The 17563-nt window shown below is 38.1% G+C and overlaps 1 protein-coding gene across 8 annotated transcripts in view; it reads left to right on the plus strand.

Moving 5' to 3' along the window:
* The window catches only part of DGKH (diacylglycerol kinase eta), a 216515-nt gene that overhangs the window by 170106 nt on the left and 28846 nt on the right, over positions 1-17563 (plus strand). For 4 of the 8 annotated variants that reach the window (NR_123715.2, NM_001204504.3, NM_152910.6 and 1 more), the window contains 5 exons: positions 427-590; positions 4332-4437; positions 5400-5492; positions 9055-9174; positions 9511-9619. Coding sequence is in view for 6 of the 8 variants with exons in the window: in NM_001204504.3 (NP_001191433.1) it covers positions 427-590; positions 4332-4437; positions 5400-5492; positions 9055-9174; positions 9511-9619 (592 nt within the window). In the remaining 2 variants the exon portion in view is untranslated. Of the gene's footprint in view, positions 1-426; positions 591-4331; positions 4438-5399; positions 5493-9054; positions 9175-9510; positions 9620-10986; positions 11220-15114; positions 15163-17563 lie in introns of all 8 variants that reach the window. The other 4 variants (NM_178009.5, NM_001204506.3, NM_001204505.3 and 1 more) reach the window with 3 other exon arrangements.

A 17563-nucleotide genomic window follows, 5' to 3' on the forward strand; every position in this document is an offset into this window, starting at 1 on the left:
TTTTGTTTTTGTTTTGAAACAGTCCTGCTTCATTGCACATGCTGGAGTACAGTGGTGTGATCATAGCTCACTGCAACCTTAAACTCCTGGGCTCAAGCAATCCTCCTACCTCAGCCCAGCTAATTAAAAAAAAAATCTTTTTTGTAGAGATGAGGTCTCACTATGTTGCCTAGACTGGCCTCAGGTGATTGTCCCGCCTTGACCTAAATCTCTTTTTTAACTTTTAAATGATGTATTCATGATCATTGACTGCACTACTTTTCATGTGTTGCAGTACATTGGAAAACTTTGAAATGTCTTTTTTATACTTGTGATTTATTTGAGGAGTCATTAGAGAAAAAGCAATTGTAGTTTTATTAAAGCACACATTTACATGGACCTCTGAGTTCTAAACTAACAATTCGTTACAATATTGACTTTAAATAGGCCTTTGAGAGCACTCTGAAATCTTGGGAAGATAAGCAGAAGTGTGATTCTGGTAAACCAGTTCTCCGAACCCATTTGTACATCCATCACGCCATTGACTTGGCAACAGAAGAGGTGTCGCAGATGCAGCTATGCTCCCAGGCTGCAGAGGAGCTCATTACTAGGTAGGGGGCTCTGCTGACTTTTCAGGCTGTGGGAACTGTGGTCTCAGCCAATTTTTGTTTTTTTAATCTTAATACATTGTTTCAGTAGTGGTATCAAAAAGAGATGCAATTACTCTTCTTCACACAGCACTCTTTCCATTATTGTTTATTTCTCCATTTTATATACATCTTTACACTATACTACCTACTTATATGTTGCCTTCTAATTACTAATTAAATGTTTATGGAATGGAGAGGGAAGTCTAAACATTCATCCTGTTCCAGAGAAGAGTCAGGAGCAAAAAGAATAAAAAGACTTCAAAAACCAATTTCTGACAAGTTATTAGAGAGATTTTGAGACCACACATAACATTAATTCCAATAGACAAAAAGAAAAGAGATAAAAAGCAAGCCTATGAGTGTTAAACAAATAAAAATCACTATGACCAGGGAAAACTTCAGAGGGGAGGAGGGACCATGGGCCAGTGTCTTACCTCCTCACCTGAGTCTTATCTACCGAATGGGGCTAATAAGAGCTGTTTCAATAGGGTGTGTGAAGATTAAATGAGACTCTAGGGATGAGTCCTATAAGCACATTGTATTAGTCCATTTTCATATGGCTATGAAGAAATACCTGAGACCGGGTAATTTATAAAGAAAAACAGGTTTCAGGCCAGGCACAGTGGCTCATGCCTGTAATCCCAACACTTTGGGAGGCTGAGGCAGGTGGATCAGTTGAGGTCAGGAGTTCGAGACCAGCCTGGCCAACATGGTGAAACCCCGTCTCTACTAAAAATACAAAAATTTGCCGTGTGTGGTGGTGGGCACCTGCAGTCCCAGTTCCTCAGGAGGCTGAGGCAGGAGAATCACTTGAACCTGAGTGGTGGAAGTTGCAGTGAGCCAAGATCACGCCACTGCACTGCAGCCTGGACGACAGAGTGAGACTCCGTCTTCAAAAAAAGAAGAAAAAAAAGAGGTTTAATAGACTCACAGCTCCACATGTCTGGGGAGGCCTCACAATCATGGCAGCAGGCAAAGGAGGAGCAAAGGCACGTCTTACATGGCAGTAGGCAAGAGAGCATGTGCAAGGGAACTGCCCTTTATAAAGCCATCACATCTTGTGAGACTTAGTCACTATCACGAGAACAGTACAGGAAAAACTCACCCCCATGATTCAGTTACCTCCCACTGGTCTCTCTCATGATTCATAGGGATTATGGGAGCTACAATTCAAGATGAGATTTGGGTGGGGACACAGCCAAACGATATGACACATCATGTCTGGCATATTGAGTGCTCTGTGTATAGTAACTTAAGATTCTTCCCACACCTTCATCTGGTCACTGATAAAAATGTTGAAAAAGAAAAGAAGGAAAGCAAAGCTCAGTGGTTTCAGCGGCTAACTCACATCTTTCCTCCTCTCTACTATTTGCCATCTGCTCCCCTCCCATTCCTTACTCTCTTTAAATATTTATTAGATAACTAGACTGTGTGAGATGTTAGAGACAGAAGAGAAAAGGCATACACCCCCTACTGCTGGACCAACATTCAGAATTAGAATCAAGTCTTACAACTGCAAAATACTGGGCAGCTCAGAAGAAAGGGAAGAGAAAATGAATATTTACTCAGCTATACCCACACAGCTGCATTATTGTACATCTCGGCTTCTTATCCATAGGGTTGTTAGTTTCAGACTAAATACATCTCTTTTAGATACTACAGACAACTTCTGTGGCCTCTAATTTACAGTGTTTTTTTGAAACCAAAATATACTTCCCATGTTCTCATCCTGTGAACCAACCAAATAATCTTATTGTAAAAAGGAAGCGAAGATTGACTAGGCTTGCTTCTGGTCAACGTAGTTTGGCTTCCCATCTGTTTTTAAATTTTGCAGATGAAATCAGGCTCACTTGTCTATTTTCAGAATTTATTCATTGACTATGCAAACATATTCAATTTTTGAACCTCTTCTTAGGCTGGGGATACAAGATGATTATTTGACAGCCCTACTTAATTGGCTCACAGATTAGTAGGAGGGAGAAATGTGGCCAAAGGATTGACATGAGGCACACAGTGGACTCTGTAGATACACTCTAGAGGAAGTCAGAGGCAGTGAAGGAGGGCTGCCTGGAAGAAGTGACCTTTCATCCGAGTCTTGAGGGAAGAGTGAGAAAAGGAGCAATTTAAGCATGGGAACCAGCTTAGGAAGAGGCCCAGAGGAGTGTGAATGCATGCTACTTTCAGGAAATCTCAGAGAGTTTGGGGTGACTGAAAGGTTGGCATAGTATATGCAAGATTGTGTGGAATGTAGATGAAGAGGTGAGGAGGAGCCAGATCTTTACTGGGCTGTTCTAGAAGTAGTGTGGAGGGGTTTTTCTGGACGACAGCAAAGCTGGGGCAAGGTGAACACTGAGGATGCTGTAGAAGTTGTCCCTATAAAAAATGATAGACTAAAGCAGTAAAGATAGAAAGGACAAGCAAGATTAAAGACAGTTTAGGATTTAAAATTGGTAAATGGGTATGAATTAGGAAACAGGTTGACCTTAATGTTCTAATGAATGGCTGGATGATTGTGGGGTGCCTTTGATGGAGCCATAGGGTTCAGGAAGAGGAGTAGGTATTAGAAGGAAAATGATGGGTTCCATGTTGGGCTTTAGAATTTAAATTACATTAAAAATACCTAGCAGATTTCAGTAGGCAATTAGAAATGTTGATCTGAAGTTGATTTATGTCTTTCCCTTTCTCTGAAAATTAGAATAACCTTTATCCATCTCTGTTCTTCTGAAAAATAGCCCATTCTTCATGGTTTCTCAGGGTTGCTGATAATAGTGCTGAGGTGACATTTGCAAGCTTCTTTGTGCCTTAGATATCCATTGTATAATCCTTAAGAATTAAATTCTTTTTCTTTACTCTTGGTTCAGCTATATAGGGCCTCAGTCCCTTTTCTTGTTCTGTCCTTTCCAGATAGAAAATATTTCTCCATGAAGCTGTCAGAAGCAAAAAAAACACTTGAACAGCCCTGCCTTCTTGCTCATCTGCAGGTCTTACATCATTTTCTAGCAATCGGAGGGACTTTTTCTCCTTTCTTGTCCTTGGCCTTAGTGCCTTCCAGAATTTGGTCTTTTCAGGACTATTCTTAGAGGTTTGGATACCAGTGGAGTATGGCACAACAGGCTTTGGAGTTAAATAGACATGGATTCCGATCCTGGCTCTACGATTTACTGGCTCTGTATGCCTACCACGTCTCTCTGAGCCTCAATGTCATCATCAATAATATGGAGATAGTAAATCATAGCTACATTTAAAGGCTGTGAATGTTAACTTATATACTGCTTATGATCACTTTGTGTATTGATGACAAATATGGTAATGCTCTTCCCTAATCTGTTGCATTTGCAGTTTCAATGAATGAAAGAGAAGTTTCTAGTCTTTATACTTGTGATCCCTCTCACTTTCCAAGGATACTGAAAAATGAAGTATTACTATATTTCATTCTTCAAAATAGCACTTCAATATGTCTCCCTCTGATTTTTAAGCCTAATTTTTTATACAAAGATTTTTTATTTCATATTTTTTGTTGCAGTGGGGTCTGGATTTATAGATCTACCTGTGCCATTCATAATTGAGCAGCCATTAAAAGTGTTCTTCCATACTGATCTTCATATATTTTTTACTTGTTTTATCCTAACATTTCTATACTTCAAAAAAAATGAGCAATACTCAAAAAAGTTTTTTATTCATTTGTTTCATTTTTGCTTTTAGGATATGTGACGCAGCCACAATTCACTGTCTTTTGGAGCAAGAACTGGCCCATGCTGTGAATGCCTGCTCCCATGCCCTGAATAAAGCCAACCCAAGGTGCCCGGAGGTGAGGATCTAATGGTAAATTCTCATTCCACAGATTCTTTTGGGTGTTACACATGTATTTTAATACTGTAAAATATGCCACGCCCTGTGACAGAAAGTTATGTTGTCTATATGAGTCTCTACAAACCTGCAGTAAAATCGTGGACAACTTTTTATTTTCCTTTTCCTGTTATTTTTTCATTCCTGCTCTTAAATTCTCTCATTTTTTATGTTTCACTTTCAATCACTTGTCACCTTCCATCTGTCTTCACTTCTTTCTTTTTTGAACTTTAATCGTCCTTTCTTACTCCTTCTTTTACCTTACCTTCTGCCCTGTACCTTGTTAAAGGGCAATCCTAGATATCATCAGCGTGCATTTTGTTAGAGATGTCCACTCGTTTTTGAAGTTATGCACTGAAATTATTCCTACTTCATTTTGTTTTGCTAAATCGGAAATTGATGCTTCTGTAAAATTTTTAATGTATAAGTTAATAATAGAATGGATAGAATATAACTCTTAAAATGTGCCACATGGTACAATGCTATAGTATGGAGAAAACTGATAGCGTTTTTTTTTTTAATTATTTGATTGAAGTTACTTAAATTAATATACAGTTAAGTGCTTGTTCTCAAGATAATAGTCTAAAAAGCAATATGGTTAGTGTTACTGAGAGTAAAAGTTTTTTTTGACTTAACTTTTTAATGGGAATATGTATATGCTGGTGCTAGCATATACATATTCATTAGGTAGGAGATGTGATCCTGAGTGTATTCACTGTAATCGGTGCATTCTTTTTGTTCTGTAATATAATAATAATGAGATAGTCATACAAACAAATGTATGAAACTTTGCGATTATAGAATTTTGGTAGATTAAAAATGTGTGCTGTGAATTTAAATTATAAGAATAAAATTTAAAGTGTTTATGGTAATGAAATCCTATTTTAATACAGATCACATGTCTTTGATATTCTTCTTTTCTAGAGTCTTACAAGAGACACTGCCACTGAAATAGCCATCAATGTGAAGGCGCTGTATAATGAAACAGAATCTTTGCTAGTTGGCAGGGTTCCTTTGGTAAGGAAAAGAATGACTGGTAACATAAGAATGATGAATTAAATGTCTGGGTCTTACCTTCATTGGGGAACAGGCATTTGGCAGATTCTAAGGCAGAAGCAGCCTTCTGGCTTCCATCCTGAGAGCTGCCTCTTCACCTGGTTTTTGTCTTCAAGAAAATATATGGCTGAAGTTGGGAGTCATGATTCAGGCTAACAGGAGTGGAGATTTCCCCTCATATATGCCATCCTGTTTTTAGGCAGCCCTGCTCTGCCCCATTCAGCTTCGAGAGACGTGAGCTTTATAAAGTGTAGTAGACATTCCTTAGGTACTTATTATTGCACACAAGTAGAGGAACTCATGGAGTTTGTTCCCTGAATTAGCATTTGAATATGACTGGTATGGTCCTCCAGGTTTGCTTAAAAGAGGACATTTTCTAGACACAGTGTTTCAAGAAGTAAATTTCAAGAACTCTGCCTTGTTTAATCCAGATTGGTCCTGGAAATCAAGTTTAGGCCAAGTCTGAATCAGACCACAGTCCATGGATCTCAAGCATAAATGCTGGAAGCTTGTGGATGTCCTATTTTGTTAGCAGCACGAGTTAGCCTTTCTTTATAAATACCTCACCATTTTCAAGTATTCTAGCATCTTGGCTCTTGCCGCCACCTAGAGTTCGGTTGTGGCTTATTCCCACATGCTGTTATCACTGTGTGGAAGGCCTAATTCATTTGCTGTTTTTTTATTCCTTTTTATAATTCTGGTTAATTGGTAGTTGATGATCTTAAAACATTTCTTTTGAAAGTAATTTTCTCACTTGGTTGGGCAAATCTACACCTAAATAAAAGTGATACTAAGAGTCATAGTATCTGGCACAGTGGGTGAATGAATGGGAGGTGCATCCCACAGCCTTGCTATTAAGTGCCTGAGCTTAGGGTTTCTGTTTTCGCCTATGGTCCAGAAAAGTGCCACCTTTGGGGCATCCTTTGCTCTGAGAAGAGAAGCTGAAAGGCTGCATGAAAGCCATCACTCTTACCTACCTCCAAAGGAAACTGAAACACAGCTTCCTTGGGACAAGAGGTGACTGGCTCTACTATGGCCATGAAGAAAACCTTTTACGAAGAAACATTGGTTATCTCTTTTGATAAAACCAGTGGAGCCCCTTCTTGGCTTTTTTTGGCACTACTGTTTTTAACCAGAATCTTCTGCTGGTCCTATAGGAAATCCAGTGACCTATGACGATCATTTCTTACAACTAAAAGCATAATTTATTCTGTACTTATTTTCTCTACACGAAAAGTACCTGCTGAGTGCTACCTTGCTAATATTTATTATTTGTATTATGTTAATATGGATGGACTTTCCTTCTCCACTTTTAATTTTCTCTCATTGTTAAATATGAATTTTGGTTTAAAATGTGTACTGGTGAATTTTACCAAAACTTTTGACAATAGTGATATTACAATAAGGAATTGATTGTATTTGAGAGCAACTAAGGTTTACTCTATATTTTAGTGCCAGAATGAATTTGTAATAACCATTTTATACGTTTTATAACACATATTCTTAGACTAAACGAAAATTAATAAATTTTAAACACAACAGGGTAGAGAATCTCCTTTTTTTTTGAGACAGGGACGCACTCTGTCGCAGTAGCGTGATCTCTGCTCACTGCAACCTCAGCCTCTCTGGTTCCAAGTGATTCTCCTGCCTCAGCTGCCAAGTAGCTGGGACTACAATCGCGCACCACCATGCCTGGCAATTTTTTTTTTTCTTTTCAATAGAGACAGAATTTCACTATGTTGGCCAGGCTGGTCTCGAACTCCTGACTTCAAGTGATCCACCCGTCTCGGCCTCCCAGAGTGCTGGGATTACAGGCATGAGCCACTGCGCCCAGCCAAGAATCTCCGTATTTTTAATCACTACTAGAAGTGGTAGATACTGTGAATAACAAGGGGAAACAAAAAAAAAAGTTCATAATAACAGTAATATTATCTCTGAACTTTTAGTTCTAAAATTCTATAAACATATTTATGAGAACTCTATAATTTTAAAGTAATTTATAAATATATTGATTAGCTAGAAGAGACCTCAAAAATAATCTAGTCGGCCAGGCTCAGTGGCTCACGCCTGTAATTCCGGCACTTTGGGAGGCTGAGGCAGGCAGCTCATTGTAGACCAGGAGTTTGAGACCAGCCTGGACAACATGGTGAAACCCCATCTCTACTAAAAATACAAAAATTAGCCAGGCCTGGTGGCATGCGCCTGTAAACCCAGCTACTTTGGTGGCTGAGGCACGAGAATTGCTTGAACCCAGAAGGCCAAGGTTACAGTGAGCTGAGATTGCGCCATTGCACTTCCAGCCTGGGCAACAGAACAAGACTCTGTCTCAAATCATCATCATCATCATCATCATCACCTTGTGCTATTTCCAGAGGAAGAAATAAAGTCTCCTGAAGTCAATTAACCTTCCTTTGGTTACTTAGTTAATTACAAGGCCAGGAGTAGAATCCAATCGACTGCCTTCCAGTTCTGTGCAGAGGAATGTTTATTTAATCTTTATTCATTTATTGAACTTGTAAGTGCATTTTAATACCTGCTTTCAATGAGTTAATGCAGATAATAGGTGAGCAGTTAAATTCTCCTTAAAATATCCAAACCCAGTTTCAGATGATAAGCCATTGAGCTTTTTGCTTTGCCCTAATTTTTACAACAGTTTTTCATCACAGATTTTTCTAAGATTCATGATTTTTTACCCTTAAGCCTATTCTTTAAATTTTCAAGGAGATTTTTCTGCAGTTCTTTTTATATGACAAGTTTTTAACCAGTTTAAAAAGTATTATTTGTTCATGTGGTGACTTTTTTTTTTTTTTTTTTTTTTGAGTCAGAGTTTCTGGCTCTGGCACCCAGGCTGGAGTGCAGTGGCGCTATCTCTGCTCACTGCAATCTCCACTTCCCAGGCTCAAGCAATTCTCTTGCCTCAGCCTCCCAAGGAGCTGGGATTACAGGCGCCCAACACCATGCCTAACTAATTTTTGTATTTTTAGTAGAGGCGGGGTTTCATCATGTTGGCCAGTCTGGTTTCCAACTCCTGACCTCAAATGATCCGCCCACATTGGCCTCCCAAAGTGCTGGGATTATGGGCATGAGCTATCATGCCCAGCCTGGTGACCTATTTAAATCAGAAGGATTTTTGGCACAAATAAGTAGAATAGTAAGACTGCACACTTATACAACCAGGAAGAATTGGTAGATAAATGCTTGGAAAGCATGAAGGAGGGAGACAGGAAAGAAGACATTTACACAGAAAAAAACACCAAAATAATACTTTTTCTATGAAGTTATTAAAGTTACACTAGCTACTCATATGATCTTTGGGAAGTAATGATTAGATTAAATCTATTCAGATTTTTTAAAAATGAAATCAATATAAAAGAATTTATTCTTCTCTTAATATTCCTTAATTTAAAAAATACTACCTTAATAAGGAGTGAGGCTGTTCACTGTCAAAGTACAATGATTTATTCTACGTGAGGCTGGCCACTGAGTCTTGTTTTGTTTTGTCTTTTAATCTGCTGGTAAATAGCAGCTGGAATCGCCACATGAAGAGCGAGTATCCAATGCCTTACACTCTGTGGAGGTGGAATTACAGAAACTGACAGAGATTCCTTGGCTTTATTATATCTTACACCCAAATGAGGATGAGGTATGTAAAATTCAGCCTGTTTCTCTAGAAATGTAGACCATATTGCTATAGAATTTGAACTCATCTTTGAAAAAGAGATATTTAGGGAAAAATGAATTTTGAATACTACTTTCAAATGTTCTGTTCTTGAACAAATGAGAAAAGGCATTTATGTGAACGCATTTTAGGGGAATTGGGACATTTTTAGTAGTACATTGTGAACTTTTTTTGAAGAAGTTATCACTGTTCTATAATGTTTAGTGTTTATAACTTATTCCTGTGTTATCCCTATTATCAGAGTAGGTTTTTCTCCTTTTCATATCCTGAAAAAATTATTTTCTTGCTCGATTTGAACAGGAACCTCCTATGGATTGCACCAAAAGGAACAACAGAAGCACCGTATTTCGAATAGTGCCAAAGTTTAAAAAGGAAAAGGTTCAGAAGCAGAAGACAAGTTCACAGCCTGGTAGGTGGTCCATATGGAAGGGGAAATATAACATTATGAAAAAAGAGCTGATTAAAGTGACATCATGGAGGTCGTGAAAATGTTCTGGAGCTAGATGGTGGTTGAGCATTGTGCAGTATGATGAACATACTGTCATTGAATTCTATGCTTTAAAATGGTTAAAATGGGGAATTTCATGCTTTATGAATTTTACCATAAAAGAATCCTCTCATACCTAAAACACATCTGAGTATCAGTGGGAATCTCTAGTAAGGAAGCACACAAAAAAATGAAGTGGTTGCTAATTTGCTTCTACTTTGTTTAGTGGATGTCAGCATTTCTGTTCAGATGGTTCTTTCTCAACAGCAAGTCAAAGCATCAGTGTATAATTTGTTTTTCTTCTTTTAAGTACAATTTTTAGATTACTTTGATAAATGGAACATAGAAACTTTCATTTACTCATTTAACTTGCCGATTACATTTTCCACCTAAAGTTATATATTCCCTTTCTCCTGTTTTGAGGACACTGTTTCAACCCCTCGACAATGACAATATGCTGTGATACTTGCATTCTCAAGCAAAGATTAAGCCCCCTCTTCGCTGCTATTTCTCTCGTTCCTTTTTCACCTTTCCTTAGAGTTTAAATGTACAGGTATGCTAGTACTAAAGCACCTTCAAATTCTGTTTATACAATGGTAGCTGCCTTTCATAACCAAATAATTTTATAAATTCCTCTGAGTGTGCTATCTTTAAAAAAGTGATGTAAAGCCTTATTTGTGATATTCATAAAGCAGCTAATGAAAGCCATTTAAAAACCAAATACAGCAAATAAGTAGGCTTTTATTAAGCTAATCAATGTTGAATAAAATGTATAAGCAAATGATACACACTGAAAATAACGTAATCCAACTAATGTCAGAGAGCAGTGCTATGGACTTTTTAAATGATATTAAATTGTGATTTAATAGCACATTGATTGCCGTTATTATCAGTAGTAGGAGAATCAATCAACACTACACTTGAAGTCAGCAAGACCTTAAGCAGAAAAGTCTGTGTAAAATTGAATACCCCATATCAGATTTTAAATTGTAATTAGCATTTGTAGCTCATTTCAGTCTATAGCCGTTTTCATACAGGGTCTGAAGGAAATCATCAGAGCTTATTTAGAGCTTGCACCATTGATCCTAATGATGTGAAATACATTTTGTATGCATATTGTGTAGGTTGGGTGGCTTTAATGAGGAAACTGGACTAAAGCTAAGCATGGGTGCACGGCAGCAAATGGTTTTGTATAGTCGGATCCTTGTGTTGATAGTGTGTAACTTGCATGGGAAAAAGTGGAACTATGGTTTTGTTGAAACAACACCTTTAACCTTTTCTTTTGCTAGCACTGCCGCTGCACTCTGTTTTGCATCTTCTTTGGCCAACCTTTGCTTTGTAATGCATTGAGCATGTAGAAATTAAGGGGGTTTTGCTCTTAACTTTGGTAGTTCAGAAATGGGGCACAGAGGAAGTTGCTGCTTGGCTGGATCTGCTCAATTTGGGAGAGTACAAAGATATCTTCATCCGTCATGACATCAGAGGGGCTGAACTTTTGCATCTGGAAAGGCGAGATCTTAAGGTATTTCCTTTGTGCTCTTCTGTTCTTGAAAATTTTATTGCAAAACAGAATCCTTTCTCCTGTGCCTCTTCTGATACTTGCTTTTAGCTTCGCTTATGTCATGCAAATGTGTAGTAACCTAACATTCACTGTCCTGTGGTCTGAGTTTCTTGTATGCTTTTTAACAAGAATGTCAGCAGTATTTTCCTGTCAGAATCACTCTATTATAGCTAAAGCTTAGCATGAACTTAGTAATTTTTCTCTGCATCTAGTGATATGACTGTTGCTGTGCTAGTATTTCCAAATGGATCATGTTTCCATCAGCTCATTTTATTGCATCAGCATGGAAGGTGATAATTTGGCTGAAAATGACTAAAATCTAATATATGGTTAACAACTAAAAATTAATGCAAAATACCAATAACAAAGCCTTTCTAACATATGGAATGAGAAGAGAGACTTACAGCAATGGCTACTTAGAATCTTACAATTTGTTGTATTTCTAAGTCAGCCTTTTTTAGGTCACATGAATAACTAGACTGAGAAATTCAAATTTCCTTTCTATGACATATTATTAAAATTCTATTATTCTCAAAAAGAATTTTTTTTCTTTAGTAAACGAGGTAAAAATTTTGCCTAGCTTTTGCTAGAAAACAGCTCAGAGCCTATTTGTGAATTGACGATAGAGAAAACCATTCCTTCATCACCTGAGGCATTTCCCTTTTATTCTGTGGGTGAAGTCTCAGTAGTAGTAGAAACAGCTGAAGTAGGCTCTCTGGCCAAGGTTTAGGAGTAGGATTTTGTCACGTTGTATTTTCTTACCACATATTGCCATTTTAAATTTCCAATAAGTAGTAACGTTTGTTGGAGTGATCCCTTTCATGTAGACCAAGTTCTAAAATGCATTAAATTTTATCATAATACAGAGAATTCCTAACAAATTAATGAACTGTTGTTGCACCTTTATCTACAAATACATTAGCAAAGATCTTTGAATAGATAATTGGTAGTATAAAGATCTTTATTAAACAGATTCACAAAGAGTTTTAGCACATCAAAAGATGACACCACTTATACCTAAACAACTTTAGCCATAATAAAATAAAATAATTAATTAATTACCTTAGTTGAGAGTCCTAAATCTGGAACATAGCAAAATATGTAGTATTAGAGTTCATAAAGCAAAAGTTGGCTTCCAAGCTTGAAATGAGTCCACAAAAAAGTAAATGTAGGGGGGATCATGATATCCAACATGTTTTTGTAACTTCTGATATCCTTGGCAGATACCAATATTTATTAATGACTGATTAATATATTATGCTAGCTTCTCTGCATGATACCTGTCCTCTAGAAGCATGCACCGCATTTGCTGTGAATAAGCATACATTCAGGGAAAAGACTGTGTGTGTATGTATAAAAAATATACATACATAAATGCATATATGTGTACGTGTTATATATATACATACAAACATAGATATATACAGGTACACACACAATGAATGTAGCAGAATGAATGTGTAGAATGGAAAAACATACACTAAGGCAAAGTTAGAAAAGAATAGAAAGAAGATGGTTAAGAATTATCTTAGAAAACGTTCTTTTTGCTTTTCATGGGACTTTTTTGTTCTGTTTTGTTTTTATTTTTAATGCAAATTACATTCTCTCTCTTAAAACTTTTAGACATTTGTATTGACATGGATTTTAAAAATTGTATTAGGTCTGAAACAAGATGTGGGGGGTGGATGAGAAAAGGAACATTTCACAGAAAGAGTCTTCTGTAGCACAAAATCATAAAGCTAGAGAAGAGCTCCCATTGTTCTCTGCGGTTGTAGCTGTCAGCAGCGGCAAGTCCTTCAGACCGATGCCTCTAAATGCTGGTGAGGGATCACTCACTCCTTAGGTACTCCATTGCTTCCGGTACTACTTGTGAATATGTCAGTGGCACACAGGTTCTCTCTCAGCCCTGCCTGACCTGATTTGTGAACTTTTGGATTATAGCACCAACCGGCTACTTGGTACTCAGGTATTATACAGGGATATCAATCTCTGTTTTTGCTTTTTAAAAATTAATTTATTTTTATTTATACAAAAATATATGGGTACAGCTGGGCACGGTGGCTCACTCCTATAATCCCAGCACTTTGGGAGTCCGAGGCGGGCGGATCACGAGGTCAGGAGATCGAGACCATCTGGCTAACACAATGAAACCCCATCTCTACTAAAACTACAAAAAAACTAGCTAGGTGTGGTGGCACGCTCCTATAGTTTCAGCTACTCAGGAGGCTGAGGCAGGCGAATTTCTTGAATACAGAAGGCAGAGGTTGCAGTGAGCCGAGATCACACCACTGCACTCCAGCTTGGGCGACAGAGCAAGACTCTGTCTCCAAAAATGAATATATATATATATGGATACAAGTGCAATTTTATTACCTTCATAGTGGTTAAGTCAGGGCTTTTACGGAATCCATTGCCTGAATAACATATATTGTACCCAATAAGCAATTTCTTATCCACTCCCTCCCACTCCCTTACCCCTCCAAGTCTCCATTGTCTATCATTCCACTAGGTCCTTGTATATACCTTATTTAACACCCACTTATGAGTGAGAACATGCAATGTTTGTCTTCCCGTGTCTTCTTGTTTCATTTAAGATAATGACCTCAAGTTCCATCCAAGTTGCTGCAAAAGACATGTTTTCATTCTTTTTTAAAATTTATTTTCTATGGCTGAATAATATTCCAATGTATATATGTGCCACATTTTCTTTATGCAGTCATCCATTGATGGAAACCTAGGTTAGAGAATTTCAATCTTAACATGTCCAAAAGCAACTCTTGAGCTCCTATTGCACTCCTGTTCTGCCCCTTCTCCAGTGCTCTGCATTTTATAAATCAGATCTCTGGCCCTCCAGGCACTCTAGGCAGAGAAATGAGGCTCATACTTAGCACCTTCCTCTTTTTTGTCCATCTTCCCCTAACCCATCAAGCCCATCACCAAGTCATATTGATTCTAATGTCCATTCACTTCTCTTTATATCCTGTCCACAATCCTGCTCCATGCTACTGTCCAGTTTTGCTTGTATAAGATCAATAGCTTCCTAACTGGTCTTTCCGCTGCCACTCTGTCTTCACAGTCCATTATCCACGTTGCAACCAGAGTGTTATTTTAGCATCATCAATCAGGTGTACACTTTTCTGCTTAAAACTTTTCAGTAGCTTCCCATTTCTAGGGAATAAAAACTCACATCTTTATGCAGGCCTACAAGGTTCTGCCTATGTATTCAACCTCCTGTGAAGTCTCTGGCTCCTCCCTGGGCTATGCTCCATTCATCCTGGCCTTATTTCAGTTGCTTAAAAATTCTATACTTTTTCTCACCTTGGGGATGTACTCTCTTTTGCTGTGCTTCTTCCCCTACCCTTCACCTGGTTAACTCCTGCTCAGAGATTAGCTCAAGTGTTACTCCCATATCACCAAAACAACTAGACATAGTAACATGACAGTCTAAAGTTGGGAAAAGGAAAAAAAAAATATATATATATATACATATATTTGTTGTTGTTGTTGAGATAGACTCTCATTCTGTCACCCAGGATGGAGTGCAGTAATGCAATCATGGCTCACTGCAGCCTCAACCTCCTGAGCTCAGGTGACCCTCCCGCCTCAGCCTCCTGAATAGCTAGGACTACATGTGCATGCCGTCACACCCAACTAATATCTTTTATTTTTTGTAGAGACAGGGTCTTGCTGTGTTGTCCAGGCTGGTCTTGAACTCCTGGCCTCAAGAGATCGGCCTGCCTTGGCCTCCTACAATGCTGGGATTACTGGTGTGAGCCACCATGCCCAGCCAGGAAAGTATTTCCAATGTGCTTTAGCAGATAAGGAAACAAACTGATTGCATCATTTTCTTTGCTAGAACACAGTAGGAGAAAAAAGAGACACCAAAGAAAATGGTAAACATATGGTGAGAGTTTTTTGTTTAGTTTATTTTTTGTTTTTTCTATTTGGAAAGTTGTGTATGTATGGCTGGAAGGATAACTGAATATCTACAAAGCATGCTTTGTCAAAATTTGGACTGTTTATCCAGGGAAAGAGAAAGCTACTCATATGATAAAAACTGGCCAGGCGAGGTGGCTTATCCCTGTAATCCCAGCACTTTGGGAGGCCAAGGCAGGTGGATCATGAGGTCAAGAGTTCAAGACCAGCCTGACCAACATGGTGAAACCACATCTCTACTAAAAATACAAAAATTAGCTGGGCATGGTGGTGCATGCCTGTAGTCCCAGCTACTCGGGAGGCTGAGGCAGGAGGATCGCTTGAACCCAGGAGGTGGAGGTTGCAGTGAGCTGAGATCATGCCACTGCACTCCAGCCTGAGTGACAGATTGAGACTCTGTCTCAAAAAAAAAAAAAAGAATATGATAAAAATTAATATATAATGATATGTGATAAAAATAAAGATAGAACAAATGTCACAGCATAGCTTTATTACAGCCTATACCCTCAAAGGCATAAAAATATTGAACTCAAACTAAAACGTCAAAAGCAATTGCAACAAAAGCCAAAATTGACAAATGGGATCTAATTACACTAAAGAGCTTCTGCACAGCAAAAGAAACTATAATCAGAGCGAACAGACAACCTACAGAATGGGAGAAAATTTTTGCAATCTGTCCATCTGAACAAAGGTCTAATATCCAGAATCTACAAGGAACTTAAACAAATTTACAAGAAAAAAAACAACCCCCATTAAAAAGTGAGCAAAGGACATGAACAGACATTTTTCAAAAGAAGACATGTGGCCAACAAACATATGAAAAAAAAGTTCAACATCAGTGATCATTAGAGAAGTGCAAATCAAAACCTCAATGAGATACTATCTCACACTAGTCAGAACGGCAATTGTTAAAAAGTCAAGAAGCAACAGGTGCTGGTGAGGCTGTGGAGAAATAGGAAAGCTTTTACACTGTTGGTGGGAATGTAAATTAGTTCAATCATTGTGGAAAACAGTGTGGCAATCCCTCAAAGACCTAGAACCCGAAATACCATTTGACCCAGTAATCCCATTACTGGGTATATACCCACAGGAATATAAATCATTGTATTATAAAGATACATGCACACATATGTTCATTGCAGCACTGTTAACAATAGCAAAGACATGGAATCAACCCAATTGCCCATCAGTTGTAGACTGGATAGGCCGGGTGTGGTGGCTCAGGCCTGTAATCCCAGCACTTTGGGAGGCTGAGGCAGGTGGATCACGAGGTCAGGCATTCGATATCAGCCTGGGCAACATAGTGAAACCCTGTCTCTACTAAAAATAGAAAAAAAATTAGCTGAGCATGGTGGCAGGTGCCTGTAATCCCAGCTACTTGAGAGGCTGAGGCAGGAGAATCGTTTGAACCTGGGAAGCAGAGGTTGCAGTGAGCCGAGATCACGCCATTGCACTCCAGCCCAAGCGACAGTATGAGACTCTGTCTCAAAAAAAAAAAAAAATAGTAGACTGGATAAAGAAAATGTGGTGTATATATACACCATGGAATACTATGCAGCCATAAAAAGGAACTGGATCATGTCCTTTGCAGGGACATGGATGGAGCTGGAAGTCATTGTCCTCAGTAAACTAACACAGGAACAGAAAATCAAACACCACACGTTCTTGTAAGTGGGAGCTAAACAATGAGAACACATAGACACAGGGAGGGGAACAACATACACTGGGTCCTGTTGTGGGGGCAGAAGGAGGGGAGAATATCAGGATAAATAGCTAATGCCTGTGGGGCTTACTACCTAGGTGATGAGTTGATAGGTGCAGCAAACTACCATGGCACACTTTTACCTATGTAACAAACCTGCACATCCTGCACATGTATCCTGGAACTTAAAATTAAATTAATTTAAAAAAAAGTATAGCTAAGAAGTTAATGTAATTCTATGGAAAACATTCTTCTCATTTTATACCAAAATAGTAATTCTAAATAGATTCTACCTCCCCCAAAGAAGATTTAGTCTTGAGAATACAATGTATTTATGGCCTAAAATAAAATATTTAATATTTAAATATATTTTGTAGTTGCATACCTATGTTTTCACAAAGTGTAAAGATATTTAAATATTCCACTCAAAAAATCTAAATGTGACTGTAAACGCATGTACATTTCAAATTTAGGTAGCAAGCATCGGTATATTCCTCTAGGATTTGGCCTTGCTTTTAAGCTTGATACTTTTGCACGTATTCAGGAAATGTATAGTTGCCTTAGGACTAATTTTGGATGCCCTGTGTCATAGGAGAAAATATTTTTCTGAGTCAGTTAAATATTTATGAAATATCTTGAAATTATCTCAAGTTTGACAATAGCATTG

This window comes from Homo sapiens, chromosome 13, assembly GCF_000001405.40.
Source record: "Homo sapiens chromosome 13, GRCh38.p14 Primary Assembly".
NCBI lineage: Eukaryota > Metazoa > Chordata > Mammalia > Primates > Hominidae > Homo > Homo sapiens.